The sequence below is a fragment of the Homo sapiens genome, chromosome 6, assembly GCF_000001405.40.
Source record: "Homo sapiens chromosome 6, GRCh38.p14 Primary Assembly".
NCBI lineage: Eukaryota > Metazoa > Chordata > Mammalia > Primates > Hominidae > Homo > Homo sapiens.
The window spans coordinates 120,915,566-120,935,629 of NC_000006.12; the positions used below are offsets into that span (position 1 = coordinate 120,915,566).

A 20,064-nucleotide genomic window follows, 5' to 3' on the forward strand; every position below is an offset into this window, starting at 1 on the left:
CATAAAAGCTATTTTTCAGTAGAGGTTTTAAAACTCATTGGTAGCTTAATGAAATTCATTGAGCTTAGCAATATAAGGAAAAAGTTGTTAATGCATTAAAAAATGTCATTTTGTTGATTTTTGCCTGATAGTAGAATAAACATAGACCATGTGTTAGAAATTCAATACTTTGAATATGCTGAAAAATAAAATGAAGAGTCTCACTCAATTCATAATTGGTTCTGGCACATATACCAACAGAGGGGCCCAAGACTAAGGTCTGAACTTTGTTAACGGGGCTGTGTATGAAACTTCTCCTGAGTCGTCATTCCTCTGTGTTAGTAAAGAATAGGTTCTTCCTTCTTTCTCTTCCAAATTTTCCCATTCCACAGATTCACACTGTCATTTCTCCAAGAAGCCGCTCCAGCTCCTACCACTGCATAGCAGGCCGTCTCACCTCAGAATTCACATACATACAGTCTGTACAACTTACCTCAGAAAAACACATGAAAACAGGAGCCAAGCTTCATATAATTTTGCAGAATTACTTTTTTATGCAATTATGGATTTTTCTATTACATTTTAAGCATTCTGGGTGCAATGGACATAGTTCTTGAGTATAAAATATATTTTAAAATATGTCTTTATTGTTTTGATATCTTGTACATTTCTGAGCACACAGACACTCTGTAAATATTTTGTTGAACTTAGTCTATAGTCATTTCTATTCTCTTCACTGAATAATTAATGGATATACTGACAGTATAAAACTGAACTACATATGAAAAGGAGCAATTTGATTACCTAATCCATTTTAAAACTGTTTTCATTTCCTTTTGAAACAAGTAAATAGAAACAGGTTCTTTATAGTTTTTATGTATGTATATGTAAAAGGACATATACAAAAGCTGATCAACTTCCATAAAATTGTAAGGCAAGAGTTATGATAATAATTTGCTTCTGAGTAATGATTTTAAAGTAAAATGAAGTAAGAGTTTGAGGCACAAAGTTTCAGTGCAGAGTGAGCATATTCCACCCTGTCTCTTTCACTGAATGCAGCTATAAAACCTGGATGGAATGCATGGAGCAACTATTTGATGTCTCTGAAAAGTAAGTAGTAGCACACAGATCAGTAAAAGAGACCAGAATTTGAAGTATCACGAACTCAGTGGTAAGTCTTCCATTTTTCCACTCCCATATCCCTCACCCTCATCTCAATGTAGCCTGAAGCAGAAGTGGGCACTGAGTTGCAGAGAGAGCTCAGGAAAAAACACTCGGGTTCTAGCTCAAGAAGTGGAAGAGAGAATTTCTAAAGCACAGAGAATGTGGAAACACCTTTTGTCCTTTCTCTAGTTTCTCAAACCTCATCCCACTAGCAATCCTGTGATGAGGTAGCAGCAGCAGTAGGAAAAGAAGCCCATTGAAACCCAGATTCTGAAGAGAGGAATCTTCTTTCCTCATTGGTGGAGCTGTGATCCCGAGAGGGTAGGGCACATTACCCAGTGCTTTTGTCTCTTGTTTCCCAGTCACTTGGCTTGAAATGCAGGTACAGTCATGGAAGCCCAACTTCCTGGGTCAGAAAAGTATCACCTTTCGGGTTGGAATACTGAAAAAGGGAGCCCCAGGAAACTGGATGTACTGGAGAGATAGGGGCAGGGGGAAGAGAAGCTCAGGAAAAAGTCCCTGAAAGTTGCTTATAACTTCATGGGATCACCCTCAAGTTTCAGAGTTATATTTTATCTTGATCAGCCTTTTAAAGAATTTGAGAAGTGAAATAACTTACAGACTGCCACCCTAGACTCTTGCCTGGCCACTTTGGGGGGCAGACATGTAGTATAAATGTTAATAGTACTGAATAGGCTTTAAAAATGGAACTGATTTTAGGACCAAAGCCCATAGAAGGTATATTGAAATATATATGTCCTGAACCTAACCAGGTTGATTGTTAAAACAAAAATATCAACATGCTTTATAGGATTTATAAGATGCAGAGTTTTATAACATCATGTTCAAAAAGTCCAGACAATAATCCAAAATTACTTGGCATATGAAGAACCAGGAAAACATCAACTCACACAGAAAAAGACAATCAGCTGAGGCCAAGGCAAAGATGACAAGATGTTGGATTATTTGACAAAGATTTTAAAGTGCCTATTACAAGGTTCTTCAACAGGCAATTTTGAACATTCTTAAAAGAGTGGGAAAATATAGATATGCCAAAAAAAAAAAAGGTGATAAGAAGAATATATAAAAATTTTGTAACTGAAAAATACATAACTGAAATTTTAAAAATTCACTGAATAGGATTAATATTAGAATGGAAATGGCAAAGGAAAGAATCAGTGAGCCTGAAAATAAAACGAGAGAAAATATCAAATCTGAATGCAAGAAAGAAAATAGATTTAAAAAATAAAGAAAAACATAGCCTCAGGGACATGTGAGATAATAAGAAAAGGTCTAACATTCGTGTCTTTAGAGAAGTGGAGAAGGTGATGCTGAAAATTTTTTTGAAGAGATAATAGTTGAAAATGTCCCAAATTATGTGAAAGTCATAAGGCTACAGATTTAAGGATCTAATCGAATCCTAAGTAAGATAAATTCAAATCCACCCACAAACACATCATAATGAAATGTCTGAAAACTAAAAACAGAGTGAAAAAGTCTTTATAGCAGCCAGAGGAAAATGATGCCTTGTCTACAGGGGAAGAACAATTCAAAAGACTGCAGATTTCTCGTCAGTAAACATGGAAACCAGAAGGAAGTAGAATGTTCTTAAAGTGCTTGAAGAAAAGAACTGTTAACTCATTATTCTATATTCAGTGAAAATGTCTGTCAGAAATGAAACTGAAAGAAACTCATTCTCAGATGAAAGAAAACTAAGAGAATTTATAATCAGCATATCTGCTCTGGAAGAATTGCTAAGTGAAATTCTTTCATTAGAGAGAAAAGTTACCAGAAGTAAACTTGGAAAATCAGAAATAAAGATAACAGAAATAATAAATATCTGAGTAAATATATTAATTATTATTTTACTATTGAGTTCTTTAAAATATGTTTGACAGTTGAAAGCAAAAATTCTAACACTGTCTGATGAGAATCTCAATGTATGTATATATATGAGACGACTAAAACATAAAAGTAGGGGAGTTAACGAGATCTACACAGTAATGAAATTTGCACTTTACTTGATGTGGTTAATAACTGATTCTAAGTAGACTATCAAAGTGTACAAAGATGTACAGTCTAAAGCAATGGAAAAATTCAAAACAACACTAAAAAGTGTTCAAATAACCCACAGGAAGGCATGAAGGGGAATCAACCAAACAAACAAACAAATAAAAACACAAGAATAAAACTCAAAAAAGATAATAAAATGGTGGGCCTAAAACCAAACATATCAATAATTACATTAAATAAAAATGCCCGGGCCGGGACATGGTGCCTCACACCTGTAACCCCAGCACTTTGGGAGGTGGCGGCGCATCCCTGTAATCCAGCTACTTGGCAGGTTGAGGCAGGAGAATCACTTGAACCCAGGCGGAGGAGGTTGCAGTGAGCCGATATGGCACCACTGTACTCCAAACTGTGCAATGGAGTGAGACTCCATCTTAAAAACAAAAAAATGCCCAAAGACCCCAATTTGAAAGACAGATATTATCCACGTGTGTGTGTATTTGTGTTTGTGTATCTGGATTCAATTTAAGAATATTTACATATATTAAAATATACATATTGTTTCTTTTTCTAGTATTTATATATACTTTTAAAATATATATTAAAAAAACAAAAGTTGAGATGTTAAATCTCTTCAAATGAATCTATATATTTTATGCAATTTCAACCAAAATCTCATGGAACTTTTTTATAGATACAAGCTGATCTTAAATATGTTTGGGGAAGAAAAGAAATGAGAATAACTAAAACCATTTTTAAGAAAACTAAAGTTGAAAAACATAATACAATCTAATTTTAAAACTTACTATAAGGTTATTGCAAGCAATACAGCATGGTACTGGCAAACAGATCATATTTCTAAATATAAAAGGTAAAATGTAAAATTTTTAGAAGAAAACAAAATCTTCATGACTTAGGGTTAGGCAATGAGTTCTTAGACATAATACTTTAAAAATACATTAATAAATTAGACTACATTGAAATTAAAAGGTATTGTTAAAATGAAAAAGATAAACTATGAACTGGAAAAAAATGTTAGCAAATCACGTAACAGAGAACTTATATCTAAATAAAAGAACTCTCAAACTCAAAAGTAAGAAACCAATTTAAAAGTGGGTAAAAGACTTGAACAGAGACTTTACCAAAGAGGATATAAGGATTGTAAACAAGCACATGAAAAGATTTTCATATCATTAGCCATTAGGAAAATGAAAAAACTGCAATGAGATACCACTACACACTATTAAAATGGATAAAAATTTTTTAAAAAGTCAATACCAACCACTGGCAAGGATACAGAGGAACTGGATTTATTTTACTTTGCTGGAGGGAATGCAAAGTGGTATAACCATTCTGAAAAACAGTCTGACAGTTTCTTACAAAGATAAACATACACTTACCAGATAATGCAGCAATGCCACTAAAGGGTAGAGAAATGTTTGAAGCACCCATATTCATTATTGTCAAAACCTTTCATTGCAAAACAACCCAAAGTTTCTCGAACACTTGAATGGAGAAAATATGGTATATTCACACAGTGAAAAGCTACTTAGCAATAAAAAAGAGCAAACTATTGACACACACAACAACATGCATGGATTTCAAAGTCATTATGCCGAGTGAAACAAGCCAGTCTTAAAAGGTTACATACTTTACAATTTCATTTATATGACATTCTGGAAAAGACACAACTATAATGATAGAAAGCAGATCAGTGGTTATCAGAGGTTTGGGGTGGTGGAAGCTTTATTCTAAAAGGATACATGAGGGAGTTCTGTGGGGGTGATAACATTGTCCCCTATCCTGATAGTGGTGCTGGTAATTGCACAAATCTATACATGTGTTAAAATTCATAGAACCAAAAACTAGTTAAATTTACTGTTTAATAAATTAAAAATTAAAATTAAAATGAATAATTGCAAACCAAATGACAATGTTAAAATGAAAGAAGTGAAAAAGAGAAAAGCATAATGATTACTATGCTTGCCACAACCATTATATATTTATAGTATCTACTTCTTTAATAGTGAAATAATAATACCATATATTCTGTTTCCCATGAATCCTGCATATAATATCTTTTTGTTCCCAGTGGATGTCCCAACACAGGATGCCTGACTGATGGCTATTGGTTCACATATTGTACACCACTTAAATATGCTGGGACGAGGAGAAATTTCTGTTTGGGGATTTTGGCCAGCTTCTGTGGCTTTTGAATTGTGAGGTACAAACCACCCACATGTCTTTTTCTATAAATTTGGTAATAAATTTCTCTCCCACATGAGTTGTACATGGCAACAAGAACATAAATGAAATACAGTCTGAGATGGAAGTGGGGCTGGGACTAGACTGGAGAATTCCTCATTTTCCATTTTCTGTCATTATATGGGTAAAAGCATTAACTGTTGTCCTGGCTAAGTTCCAGCTCAGGTAGTTACCTTCTTCCAAAAAATTTTCACTGTAGTTTTAATTGAACAATGTATTTTTTACTTCCTGTCTTAAATCATATGCCTATGCCTGTTTTCACCAGCTGCAGAAATACATCTACTCTGACCTAAAATTCAAGAGGCTGTGGATGTAATCGTTTTCAAAGAAAGAGCAGTACCCTTTTTTTAAAAAAGCATTTTATTCTTTTTCTCAATGAAAAAGAGCTAAGTAGCTTTACAGTAAGAAGCTCTCCCCTTCAATGGAAAGATAAATGATTGAACAGACTCTATATAAATATTTGATATCCTTGAGTCTTCCTGATACACAAAAAGCAGCAAGGCAGCAGACTTGTTAACATCTGATATTTTATGCAATACCTGAAAAAACGTTAGATCTCCATTTTTCATTCCCAGTGTCAAGGAGATGTCCACACTAGTAGAAATACTGACCAGTACCCATTCATATGTTTTCAGAAATGTTTTATCAGAAACTTTCTGGGCATCAGAAGCTAACGCTGAAGGCTAAATGGCAAGCCTAAGTGATTATAAGGTGTTTTAATAAAACATAAGGCGTTATGTGTTAGTCTGTTTTGCATTGCTTTACAGGAACACCTGAGGCTGGGTAATTTACAAAGAAAAGATGTTTATTTTGGCTTATGGTTCTGCAGACTGTACAAAAGCAGGGTGCAAGCATTTGCTTCTGGTAAGGGCCTCAGGAAACTTCCAATTGTGGCAGAAGTCAAAGAGGGAGCGGGCATGTCACATGGTAAGTGTGGGAGCAAGAGAGAGAGAGAGAGAGATGCCATACTCTAACAACCAGATCTTGTGGTAACTAATAGAGTGAGACTCACTAATTACCATGAGGACAGTCTCAAGCCATTCACGAGGGATCTACCCGCATGACCCTAACACCTTCCACCAGGTCCCACCTCCAACACTGTGGATTACATTTCAACATGAGATCTGGAGGAGACAAATATCCAAATCATATCACATTATTATGATAATTAGATATGACAGGCCTATTTTGAAACTGGATTAGGCCAGCAGTTCCCAAACTTGCTTGATTAGAATTACCGGGGGCACTTCCTTCAAAAACAGATTAACAGACCTCTCCTGGAAATCAGAGGAGAAGAGAAATTGTTACGTAAGAAAATTTGACCTTATAAACCCCTCCATCGTTCTTTCCAGTCCAAACTCCTCAAGCCAACTCCCCATCTGCCAGTGGCCTTCTCTGCTTGCTATCTCAAGCATAGCTACACACTGGAACTACCTGACAAGATTTCTAAATACTGATGCCAGTTCCACCACAACACATTCTGATTTGATGGATTTGAGAAGATGTGTAGCCATTGGCATTTTCAAAGTACTCAGCTAACTCTAATGTGCACCAAAAGTTGAGAACCACTGAATAAAGGTAGTTCTAAAATAATTTAGACTAAGGGTGATGATAATTCTACACTGGTTTTCTAAGAACACCAGAGCAGTACATTTGGCTCTGAAGAGATGTAATGACCAAGTGGGACGCACACGCTAACTGCAGAATGACAAAGATCTCAGCTGGAATCTCAGGTCTACCAGGTAAAATGAGATCTATTGACTCTTAGAAGATAATCTACCCTCAGTTTTCCAGTTATGTAATGGGAAATATAGTAGCTATTAATCAAACAGGTAAACCAACTAGTCTGCCAGATTCAACTTTCTCTTCTGGCTTATGCAGCCCTTTTACTATACCCAAGAAGTGATTGTCTTACAAATGAGGTGACCCTGTCTCCCTGTTTGTCTAGAAGCATCCTGTTTATCCTTATTGTTTTGGCATAATTAGTCATCATGCCAGCTTTTCTTCTCAAAAGTGTCCCAGTTTAGAATATAAACTAAGTAGTTACCTTACCTACATGCCACATTTTTCATTCATCACTTATAATTGACTGGACCAATGTGAGCAGCTGATCCATATATTGAACAGAGCCAATAGATTGTCTACATAACTTTATCTAAAATATGGAGTGTAGAGTTGTATAAGTTATCTAAGCTGCATAACAAATTACCTAAAATCATAGTGGCTTAAAACAACAAGATTTATTATTTCACATTTCTGCAGGCCAGGAATCCAGGTATGATTCCTTCAGAGTCTATCACTATAATAAGCTGTTCAGCAGTGGCTACGGTCATCCTAAGGCTCAACTGAAGAAGCATCAACATTCAGGTCACTTATGTGGTTGTTGGCAGGATTCAGTTCCTCACAAGCTGTTAGATTACGTACTTCAGTTTCTTACTGGCTGCTGGCAGGAGGCTGCCCTTGGTTTCTTGCTACATGGGTCTCTTCCAAAAAACAGATCCCAAGAAGGTAGCTTGCCCCCATCAAAGTGAATAAATGAGAAGAGCCAAAGAGAGAGTGAGAGAGAGCAAACAAGACAATATCCACAACCTTTTTTAAAACCCGATCTTGGATTTTATATCCCACCTCTTTTGCCATATTCTGTATGTTTGAAGTAAATCACTATGACCAGTCCACACTCAAAGGGAGGGGACTACACAGGGCATGAATACCAGGAGACAGGAATCATTGAGAACTATTTTAAAGGCTGCCTACCACACAAAGAGACTATAATCAAATAGTGGAGTTGAAAAGTCCAACAAAATTAGAGATAGATATGAAATGTGGCAAACCAATGTCATGAGTAAACTGCAGTTATGGAGTAGAAATAATTAAAAAGTAAAAAGATAAGAGTTGAAAAAAATAATGAAACAGATGCAAATACATCTGTTCAGAGTCTAGAGACTATTGTTGAAGGGTAATTCAGAGACACTTAAAAATTTCTTATGCAAATTATTTACATTTGAAGGAATCAGGTGGTAGACTACTGTATTAATCAGGATTTCCTAAGACACAGCACCAGTGGGTCACATATAGATATTTAAAAGATTTATCATTGGAATTAGCACATGCAATTATGAAGACCAAGAAGTCCCATAATCTGCCATCCACATGCTGGAGAACCAGGAAACCTGGTGGAATAAATCAGTCCAAGTCCAAAGCCCTGAGAACTAGAAGCTCTAACATTCTAGATGAGGAAAAAATAGCTGTCCCAGCTCAAGAAGAAAGAATAAAATTGCCCTTTCTTCTCTGTTTTCTTTTTGTCCTATTCAGGCCCTCAATGGATTGTATGATCCCCATCCAATTGAGGGTGGATATTCTTTATGCAATCTACTGATTCAAAAGGTAATCTTTTCTGGAAACACTCATAGACATACCCAGAAATAATGCTTTACCAGCTATCTGGGCATCCTGTAGCCCAGTCAAGTCGACATGCAAAATTAAGGATCACAACTGCCTCAGGAAGTGAAAGCAAAACAGGATTCAAAGAGTGAAAAGGGGGATGAAAAAAACCGCAGACAGTATGGGTGAAAAAAAATCTCACTTGTACATTTCTAGGGTAAACTGATTAGCTGCCAGCTAGCAAAGAGGTCAGTCAAGGCATTAGGTCCTTGATCAGGCTGACTAGGTAGATCAAGGAAAGCAATTTCACTTCTCTAGAAAACCTTGAGAGTTTATCTTTAAAACAAATGTGATAGTTGCCAGTGTATAAATTCTGCCAAGTCCATTTAAGCCTCCTTCTTCAACTATTTATACTTTTATTCTTTTGTCAGAGCTTTTCACCATGTAACTCCAAACTTACTGTCAGGCCTCTGAGCCCAAGCTAAGCCATCATATCCCCTGTGACCTGCACATACACATCCAGATGGCCAATTCCTGCCTTAACTGATGACATTCCACCACAAAAGAAGTGAAAATGGCCTGTTCCTGCCTTAACTGATGACACTGTCTTGTGAAATTCCTTCTCCTGGCTCATCCTGGCTCAAAAGCTCCCCCACTGAGTACCTGGCGACTCTCACTCTGCCTGCCAGAGAAAAACTCCCCTTTGACTGTAATTTTCCTTTATCTACCCAAATCTTATAAAATGGCCCCACCCTTATCTCCCTCCCCTGACTTTCTTTTCAGACTCAGCCCACCTGCACCAGGTGAAATAAACAGCCATGTTGCTCACACAAAGCCTGTTTGGTGGTCTCTTCACACAGACGTGCATGAAATTTGGTGCTGTGACTCGGATCGGGGGACCTCTCTTGGGAGATCAATCCCCTGTCCTCCTGCTCTTTGCTCCGTGAGAAAGATCCACATATGACCTCAGGTCCTTAAACCAACCAGCCCAAGAAACATCTCACCAATTTCAAATCCAGTAAGCGGCCTCTTTTTACTCTCTTCTCCAACCTCCCTCACTATCCCTTAACCTCTTTCTCCTTTCAATCTTGGTGCCACACTTCAGTCTCTCCCTTCTCTTAATTTCAATTCCTTTCATTTTCTGGTAGAGACAAAGGAGACACATTTTATCTGTGGACCCAAAACTCTGGCGCCGGTCACGGACTAGGGAAGGCAGCCTTCCCTGGGTGTTTAATCATTGCAGGGACACCTCTCTGATTATTCACCAAAGTTTCAGAGGTGTCAGACCACGCAGGGATGCCTGCCTTGGTCCTTCACCCTTAGCGGCAAGTCCCGCTTTTCTGGGGAAGGGGCAAGTACCCCAACCCCTTCTCTCCCTGTCTCTACCACTTCTTCACCTTTCTAGGGGGCAAGAAACCCCCAACCCCTTCTTCACCCTTAGCAGCAAGTCCCACTTTTCTAGGGGAGAGGCAAGTACCCCAACCCCTTATATCTCTCTGCCCCGATCCCTTAATTCCGTGCCCCAACCCCTTATATCTCTGTGCCCCGATCCCTAATTTCCGCACCCCAACCCCTTATATGTCTGCGCCCTGATCCCTTATTTCCGTGCCCTGACCTCATATCTCTGTGCCTCGACCCCTTTCCCACTTTTCTGGAGGGTAAGAACCCCCGAACCCCTTCCCTCCCTGTCTCTACTCTCTCTTTTCTCTAGGCTTGCCTCCTTCACTATAGGCAACCTTCCACCCTCCATTCCTCCTTCTTCTCCCTTAGCCTGTGTTCTTAAGAACTTAAAATCTCTTCAACTCTTACCTGACCTAAAATCTAAGCACCTTATTTTCTTCTGCAACACCGCTTGGCCCCAATACAAACTTGACAATGGCTCTAAATGGCCAGAAAATGGCACTTTCGATTTCTCCTTCCTACAAGACCTAAATAATATTTGTCGAAAAATGGGCAAATAGTCTGAGGTGCCTTGCGTCCAGGCATTTTTCACACTTCGTTCCCTCCCTAGTCTCTGTTCCCAATGCGATTCCTCCCAGATCCTCCTTCTTTCCCTCCCGCCTGTCCCCTCAGTCCCAACCGCAAGTGTCACTGAATCTTTCAAGTCTTCCTTTCCTACAGACCCATCTGACCTTTCCTCTCTTCCCCAGGCTGCTCGTCGCCAGGCCGAGCTAAGTCCCAATTCCTCCTCAGCCTCCGCTCCTCCACCCTATGATCCTTCTACCACCTACCCTCCTCACACCCGGTCCGGCTTACAGCTTAGTTCCGTGACTAGTTCTTCCCCACCTGCCCAACAATTTCCTCTTAGAGAGGTGGCTGGAGCTGAAGGCATAGTCAGGGTACATGTACCTTTTTCTCTATCAGACCTCTCTCAGATCAGTCAGTGTTTAGGCTCTTTCTCATCAGACCCCACTAAATATGTACAGGAATTCCAATATCTAACTCTGTCCTGCAATTTAACCTGGAGTGACTTAAATATCATCCTGACTTCTACCCTCTCCCCAGATGAACAGGAAAGAGTTTTTTCCCTAGCCCAATCTCACGCTGATAACCGCTGGCTTCATGAGCCAGACCTCCAGGAAGGCATTAGAGCAGTTCCCCAAGAAGATCCCCAAAGGAACTACCAGGCAAATTCCCCAGGTATAGCTAGGCGAGATTACATGGTTTCCTGCCTAGTTGAAAGGCTTAAAAAGGCAGCTTACAAAGCTGTTAATTATGACAAGCTTCAAGAAACTACCCGAGGTAAAGATGAAAACCCAGCCCAGTTCATGGCCCGCTTAGCGGCAACCCTTAGACGCTTTACCACCCTAGACCCAGAGGGGCCAGAAGGCCGCCTTATTCTTAATATACATTTTATTATCCAATCTGCTCCCGACATTAAATAAAACTCCAAAAATTAAATTCCGGCCCTCAAACCCCACAACAGGATTTAATTAACCTCGCCTTCAAGGTGTACAATAATAGAAACAAGTTGCAATTCCTTGCCTCCACTGTGAGACAAACCCCAGCCACATCTCCAGCGCACAAGAACTTCCAAATGCCTGAACCGCAGTGGCCAGGCGTTCCTCCAGAACCTCCTCCCACAGGAGCTTGCTACAAGTGTCAGAAATCTGACCACCAGGCCAAGGAATGCCTGCAGCCCAGGATTCCTCCTAAGCCACGTCCCATCTGTGCAGGACCCCACTGGAAATCGGACCGTTCAACTCACCTGGCAGCCACTCCCAGAGCCCCTGGAACTCTGGCCCAAGGCTCTCTGACTCCTTCTTGGCTTAGCGGCTGAAGACTGACGCTGCCGGATCGCCTCGGAAGCCCCACAGACCATCACGGATGCCGAGCTTCGGGTAACTCTCACAGTGGAAGGTTAAGTCCGTCCCCTTAGTCAATACGGAGGCTACCCACTCCACATTACCTTCTTTTCAAGGGCCTGTTTCCCTTGCCTCCATAACTGTTGTGGGTATTGACGGCCAGGCTTTTAAACCCCTGAAAACTCCCCCACTCTGGTGCCAACTTGGACAACACTCTTTTATGCACTCTTTTTTAATTATCCCCACCTGCCCAGTTCCCTTATTAGGCTGAGATATTTTAACCAAATTAGCTGCTTCCCTGACTATTTCTAGGCTACAGCCACACCTCATTGCCACCTTTTCCCTAGTTCAAAGCTTCCTTCACATCCTCGTCTCATATCCCTCCACCTTAACCCACAAGTATAAGATACCTCTATTCCCTCCTTGGTGACCAATCACACACCCCTTACAATCTCATTAAAACCTAATCACCCTTACTTCCCTCAATGCCAATATCCCATCCCACAGCACACCTTAAAAAGATTAAAGCCTGTTATCACTCGCCTGCTACAGCATGGCCCTTTAGAGCCTATAAACTCTCCTTACAATTCCCCCATTTTACCTGTCCTAAAACCAGACAAGGCTTACAGGTTAGTTCAGAATCTGCGCCTTATCAACCAAATTGTTTTGCCTATCCACCCCGTGGTGCCAAACCCGTATACTCTCCTATCCTCAGTACCTCCCTCTACAACCCATTATTCTGTTCTAGATCTCAAACATGCTTTCTTTACTATTCCTTTGCACCCTTCATCCCAGCCCCTCTTCGCTTTCACCTAGACTGACCCTGACACCCATTAGGCTCAGCAAATTACCTGGGATGTACTGCCGCAAGGCTTCACAGACAGACCCCATTACTTCAGTCAAGAACAAATTTCATCCTCATCTGTTACCTATCTCAGCATAATTCTCATAAAAACACACGTGCTCTCCCGCTGATCGTGTCCAATTAATCTCCCAAACCTCGATCCCTTACAAAACAACAACTCCTTTCCTTCCTAGGCATGGTTAGTGCGGTCAGAATTCTTACAGAAGAGCCAGGACCACACCCTGTAGCCTTTCTGTCCAAATAACTTAACCTTACTGTTTTAGCCTAGCCCTCATGTCTGCGTGCAGCAGCTGCCGCTGCATTAGTACTTTTAGAGGCCCTAAAAATCACAAACTATGCTCAACTCACTCCCTACATTTCTCATAACTTCCAAATCTATTTTCTTCCTCATACTTGACGCATATACTTTCTGCTCCCCGGCTCCTTCAGCTGTACTCACTCTTTGTTAAGTCCCACAATTACCATTATGCCTGGCCCGGACTTCAATCCGGCCTCCCACATTATTCCTGATACCACACCTGACCCCCATGACTGTATCTCTCTGATCCACCTGACATTCACCCCATTTCCCCATATTTCCTTCTTTCCTATTCCTCACCCTGATCACGCTTGATTTATTGATGGCAGTTCCACCAGGCCTAATCTCCACACACCAGCAAAGGCAGGTTATGCTATAGTACAAGCCACTAGCCCGCCTCTTTGAACCTCTCATTTCCTCTCCATCGTGGAAATCTATCCTCAAGGAAATAACTTCTCAGTGTTCCATCTGCTATTCTACTACTCCTCAAGGATTATTCAGGCCCCCTCCCTTCCCTACACATCAAGCTCGAGGATTTGCCCCACCCAGGACTGGCAAATTAGCTTTACTCAACATGCCCCGAGTCAGATAACTAAAATACCTCTTAGTCTAGGTAGACACTTTCACTGGATAGGTAGAGGCCTTTCCTACAGGGTCTGAGAAGGCCACTGCAGTCATTTCTTCCCTTCTGTCAGACATAATTCCTCAGTTTAGCCTTCCCACCTCAATACAGTCTGATAACAGACCTGCCTTTATTAGTCAAATCAGCCAAGCAGTTTTTCAGGCTCTTGGTATTCAGTGAAACCTTTATATCCCTTACAGTCCTCAGTCTTCAGGAAAAGTAGAACGGACTAAAGGTCTTTTAAAACCACACCTCACCAAGCTCAGCCACCAACTTAAAAAGGACTGGACAATCCTTTTACCACCTTCGCTTCTCAGAATTCAGGCCTGTCCTCGGAATGCTACAGGGTACAGCCCATTTGAGCTCCTGTATAGACGCTCCTTTTTATTAGGCCCCAGTCTCATTCCAGACACCAGACCACCTTAGACTGTGCCCCAAAAAAACTTGTCATCCCCACTATCTTCTGTCTAGTCATACTCCTATTCACCGTTCTCAACTACTCATACATGCCCTGCTCTTGTTTACACTGCCAGTTTACACAGTTTCTCCAAGCCATCACAGCTGATATCTCCTGGTTCTATCCCCAAACTGCCACTCTTAACTCTTGAAGTAAATAAATAATCTTTGCTGGCAGGACTATGCTGAATCTCCTTAGGCACTGTCTAATCAGATGTCCTGAGTCGTCCCAATTCTTCGATCTTTTATACCTGTTTTTCTCCTTCTCTTCTTCCATTTAGTTTTTCAATTCATAGAAAACTGTATCCAGGCCATCACCAATAATTCTAAATGACAAATGTTCCTTCTAACAACCCCACAATATCACTCCTTACCACAAAATCTTCCTTCAGCTTAATCTCTCCCACTCTAGGTTCCCACACCACCCCAATCCCGCTTGAAGCAGCCCTGAGAAGCATCGCCCATTATCTCTCCATACCACCCCCAAAAATTTTCACTGTCCCAACACTTCAACACTATTTCATTTTATTTTTCTTATTAATATAAGAAGACAGGAATGTCAGGCCTCTGAGCCCAAGCTAAGCCATCATATCCCCTGTGACCTGCACATACACATCCAGATGGCCGATTCCTGCCTTAACTGATGACATTCCACCACAAAAGAAGTGAAAATGGCCTGTTCCTGCCTTAACTGATGACATTGTCTTGTGAAATTCCTTCTCCTGGCTCATCCTGGCTCAAAAGCTCCCCCACTCTGCCCGCCAGAGAACAACTCCCCTTTGACTGTAATTTTCCTTTATCTACCCAAATCCTATAAAATGGCCCCACCCTTATCTCCCTTCCCTAACTCTCTTTTCGGACTCAGCCCACCTGCACCCAGGTGAAATAAACAGCCATGCTGCTCACACAAAGCCTGTTTGCTGGTCTCTTCACACGGATGCACATGAAACTTAACACAGTCAGATGACTTACCATGTTTCCAAAGTTCCCACTATATTTTAGAATCCATGCCATGAAATCCCTCTGGGTTTATTGTGTTTAAGCTAATTCTGATGGATTTTTGTTCCTCCAACCAAAGAGTCTTCACTAAAGCAATTTGACTGAGTTATTGAAAAGATTAAATAACATAGTGTGGATAAATTATGTGGAACTTAATTGGAACCTATAAGTAGTAGTTGTTTTCAAGCTATGAGTACAATTATTGAAGAGACTAGACAGATGGAAACATGTGCATGAGAAAGTGAAGAAGTGATTAAACAATCTCAAAATCGTATCTCATGAAGAATGACTGAAGGAGCCAGAGAGTTTAGCCAGGACAAGAGAATCTCAGATGGTATATGGCTTTTTTTCTAAATGCTGACAGTCAATCATATAAATGATGATTCCATAGACAGACATAAAAGCATAAACCTATGAGGAAGCTGTGAGAGGGTAGATGAAAGTGTTTTAGGGGGTAGGGCTTTCTTCAGCATGGAAAGAATTCAAGCATAAGCAGCTTGTTGGAAACGCTATATATTAAAACCAGATTGTGGGGGAAAAGAAAGATCAGATTGTTACTGTGTCTGTGTAGAAAGAAGTAGACATAGGAGACTCCATTTTGTTCTGTACTAAAAAAAAATTATTCTGCCTTGAGATACTGTTAATCTGTAACCCTACCCCCAATCCTGTGCTCCCTGAAACATGTGCTGTGTCAACTCAGGGTTAAATGGATTGAGGGCTGTGCAGGTGTGCTTTGTTAAACAAATGCTTGAAGGCAGCATGCTTGTTAAGAGTCATCACCACTCCCTAATCTCAAACCAGTCCCTAATCTCAAGTACGCAGAGACACAAAACACTGCGGAAGGCCGCAGGGACCTCTGCCTAAGAAAGCCAGATATTGTCCAAGGTTTCTCCCCATGTGATAGTATGAAATATGGCCTCATGGGAAGGGAAAGACCTGACCGTCCCCCAGCCCGACACCTGTAAAGGGTCTGTGCTGAGGAGGATTAGTAAAAGAGAAAGGAACACCTCTTTGCAGTTGAGATAAAAGGAAGGCTTCTGTCTCCTGCTGGTCCCTGGGCAATGGAATGCCTCGGTGTAAAGCCGACGTATATTCCATCTACTGAGATAGGGGAAAACTGCCTTAGGGCTGGAGGTGGGACATGCTGGCAGCAATACTGCTCCTTAAGTCATTGAGATGTTTATGTATATGCACATCAAAAGCACAGCACTTTTTTCTTTACCTTGTTTATGATGCAGAGACATTTGTTCATGTGTTTACCTGCTGTCCTTCTCTCCACTATTATCCTATGATCCTGCCACATCCCCCTCTCTGAGAAACACCCAATAATGATCAATAAATACTAAGGGAACTCAGAGGCCGGTGTGGATCCTCTGTATGCTGAACGCCGGTCCCCTGGGCCCCCTTTTTCTTTCTCTATACTTTGTGTCTCTTTCTTTTCCAAGTCTCTCATTCCACCTAACGAGAAACACCCACAGGTGTGGAGGGGCAACCTACCCCTTCACCAGATGATACATAAGGTCTTTTCAATCCTAAACTTATATGATTTTGTAAAACAAGGGGAGAATTCTTTTCTCTGTATGTTTTGATTTTCTATTCTGTAAAATAGCTAGGATAGTGACTGCCTTTTCCAGCTGCAGTTGTTGAAAGAATGCACTGAAGCCTTAATAGAATATACAATGTTCCACAAAATATAAATTGAAGAATAAACCTCTGAATTAAAATCTCCATAAATACATGAAGTGTTTATTTTTACTCTTTAAATGAAATATTTCTTGAGTTCCGACTATGCACCAAACACTCCTATAAGTACTTAAAATGCATTAGTAAATGAAGCAGATAAAATAGTGACAACTTATTTTTACATACAATGTCATAACAGGGAAGAATGGTGAAAACCAAACCAGTTTTTAATCATCTGGGAAGCTGTAACCATGATAAAGCTACAACATGAACCTAGGATTCAACCACAAAATTAAGGAAAAAGAAAAAAATTGTTGATCAGCACCAATTAGCAGGGCCTGGAAGTCCATAGGCAAGACTCGTTTTAAAAAGAGAGAGAGAGAGAGAGACTAATAGAGGCTTAATCTCAACCTTCCCAGTCTCCACCATTAATAAGACTAGCTTTACCATTTGGCCTTCTCAGTACCTCCCTGCTTGTATTCCCAAGGCTTGCAGTCTCTCAACACTATCTACAAAGAAAGTGTTTAGGCCCTATTTCTCTAATCAGGGATAATATGATAACTGGACCACTGATTCCCATTACTCCCACTACTGCTCTTTGAGAATTTCTGTTCATTTGAAAAATATATACTGAGAGGCTCTTTAAGAATCAGGCATATAGTATGATATGGTGTGTGTGTGTGTGTAATATGTATGTGTGTATTTGTATATTTGTGTGCAAGGAAATTAACAATTTCCTTCTTAGATCAAAACATTGGTCTTCATATCACAGGTAGGTATCAGAATTAACTACAGGCTCTCCCAATACACCCACATATATTCTGATTCAGTAGATCTGAACAAGTGAAATTTGGAAAAGTAATTCTGGTAGATATACTGGATTCCAAATCATTGTATTAAAAACATAACTAGATTAAAAAATAATATAACAAAGCTTTCTCTTCCACCATGCTATCCCATCTCTGGCAAAATCTTCAGCTTATTTGATTAAAGTAAATGATGTGCATAATTTAGTGTTTATTTCATGCTCATTCATAACATAGGCCTTCATTTAAAGCACTGTGATATTTTACTTTTATTATTACAATTCTATAAATGAAAGAGACCTTATTCAATAAATGGTGCTAGGAAAATTAGATAGCCATATGGAGAAGAATGAAACTAGACCTGTATCTCTCATCATATATAAAAGTCAACTCAAGATGGATTAAAGACTTAAATGTGAGACCTGAAACTATAAAGATTCTAGAAGAAAGCCTAGGAAAAACTCCTCTGGACATTGGCCTAGGGAAAGAATTTATGACTAGGTCTTCAGTGCAAATGCAACACAAACAAAAGTGGACAAATGGGACTTAATTAAACTAAAAATCTTCTTCATAGCAAAAGAAATAATCAACAGACAAGATACAGAATGGGAGAAAATATTTTCAAACTATGCATATGACAAAGGGCTAATATCCAGAACATACAAGGAACTCAAACAACTCAACAAGAAAAAAAAAATCCCATTAAAAAGTGTGCAAACATGTTTCAATAGAAGACATCTAAGTGGCCAAAAACATATGAAAAAATGCTCAACATCATGAATCATTAGAAAAATGCAAATTAAAACCACAACAAGACATCATCTTATATTAAAAGTCAAATAACAGATGTTGGCAAGGATGCAGAGAAAAGGGAATGCTTATATGCTGTTGGTGGAAATGTAAATTAGTAAAACCTCTATGGAAAACAGTATGGAAATTTCTTAAGGAACTATAAATAGAACTACCATTCAACCCAGCAATCCCACTACTGGGTATCTACCCAAAGGAAAAGAAATCATTATATTAAAAACACACCTGCACTTGTATGTTTATCACAGCACTATTCACAACAGTCATTAAATCAACCTAAGTGTCCGTCTGCAGATGACTGAATAATGAAAATGTAGCATATATATACCATGGATGCTCCTCAGCCATAGAAAATAATAAAATCATGTCTTTTGCAGCAACATGGATGAAACTGGAGACCATTCTCCTGAGTGAAATAATCCAAAACAGGGTCAAAATACCACATATTCTCACTTAAAAGTGGGAGCTAAACAATAGGTACATATGGATATGCAGAGTGGACAAATAGATGTTGGAGACTCCAAAAGGTGGGAGGAGAGTAAGGACTGAAAAATGATATATTGGGTACAATGTTCACTATTTAGGTGATGGGTACATTAAAAGCCCAACTTTACCACTATACAATATAGTCACATAATAAATCTGCATGTGTACTCTCGAAACCTATTTTTAAAATTTTAAGAATTTTATTTTTTAAATCTTTAATTGTTTATAGCCTTGTTTTTCCTAAGTCATTCTAATGTAAAAGTGTACAATCAGAGAGCTATAACAATTGTAACTCAAATCAACTTGAATAACTATAATGGCAGGTGACAAAGTCATCCATAGCTTTGCTGAATAGAATGTTTTTAAGTAGGAAAGGGATGTAGGGCTTATAATACGTTACCTTTTCTATTCACAATTTCCATTCACATTGGTATGTGGCTCTGTTTATCTCTCCTGAACTGTCTAAGGCCTCTATGCACTGCTGCATTATTGTTGCTGCTTCATTAAAAGAAGCTGACAGGTCTCTCAGCATACCCTTCTATTAACATGCACTCCAGAATGCACAGGTTATTTTCATTCTGATGAAAACTACATCACACTTGATCTGAGCTGTTCTCCCTGTAGAATAACAAAGCCAAAATACAAACACCCTTCCCCCATCCCCTCAATCCCTACCGCTTCTACTGTTCTTTTGGGTTATACTGAATCACCATCAGGTTTATTAATTTATTTTAAGGCAAAAGTAAGTAAGCCATACAGCATATTACAGCAGACACAAAAACTGTAATATATTTTCTATGGAAAATCCTGAATTTTAAAAGATATTTAGTGGGTTTCTAAGAAAGTGATAAAACAGCTGGTTTTTCTGAACACTAGGAACTAGGATTTTATAGTAGAGAAAAATGGGCTGTGGAGACAGAACAATCTCGGTTTGA

At 39.5% G+C, this 20,064-nt stretch overlaps 3 annotated features.

The window, feature by feature from the left end:
- Window positions 14,923-15,693: an enhancer, noted in NCBI's record as "OCT4-NANOG-H3K27ac hESC enhancer chr6:121251634-121252404 (GRCh37/hg19 assembly coordinates)". NCBI's record gives its function as "activates a minimal SCP1, AML or CMV promoter by ChIP-STARR-seq in naive H9 embryonic stem cells {active_cell/tissue: H9 hESC(naive)}" and the evidence as "EXISTENCE:reporter gene assay evidence [ECO:0000049][PMID:30033119]".
- Window positions 15,694-16,464: an enhancer, noted in NCBI's record as "OCT4-NANOG-H3K27ac hESC enhancer chr6:121252405-121253175 (GRCh37/hg19 assembly coordinates)". NCBI's record gives its function as "activates a minimal SCP1, AML or CMV promoter by ChIP-STARR-seq in naive H9 embryonic stem cells {active_cell/tissue: H9 hESC(naive)}" and the evidence as "EXISTENCE:reporter gene assay evidence [ECO:0000049][PMID:30033119]".
- Window positions 16,465-17,234: an enhancer, noted in NCBI's record as "OCT4-NANOG-H3K27ac hESC enhancer chr6:121253176-121253945 (GRCh37/hg19 assembly coordinates)". NCBI's record gives its function as "activates a minimal SCP1, AML or CMV promoter by ChIP-STARR-seq in naive H9 embryonic stem cells {active_cell/tissue: H9 hESC(naive)}" and the evidence as "EXISTENCE:reporter gene assay evidence [ECO:0000049][PMID:30033119]".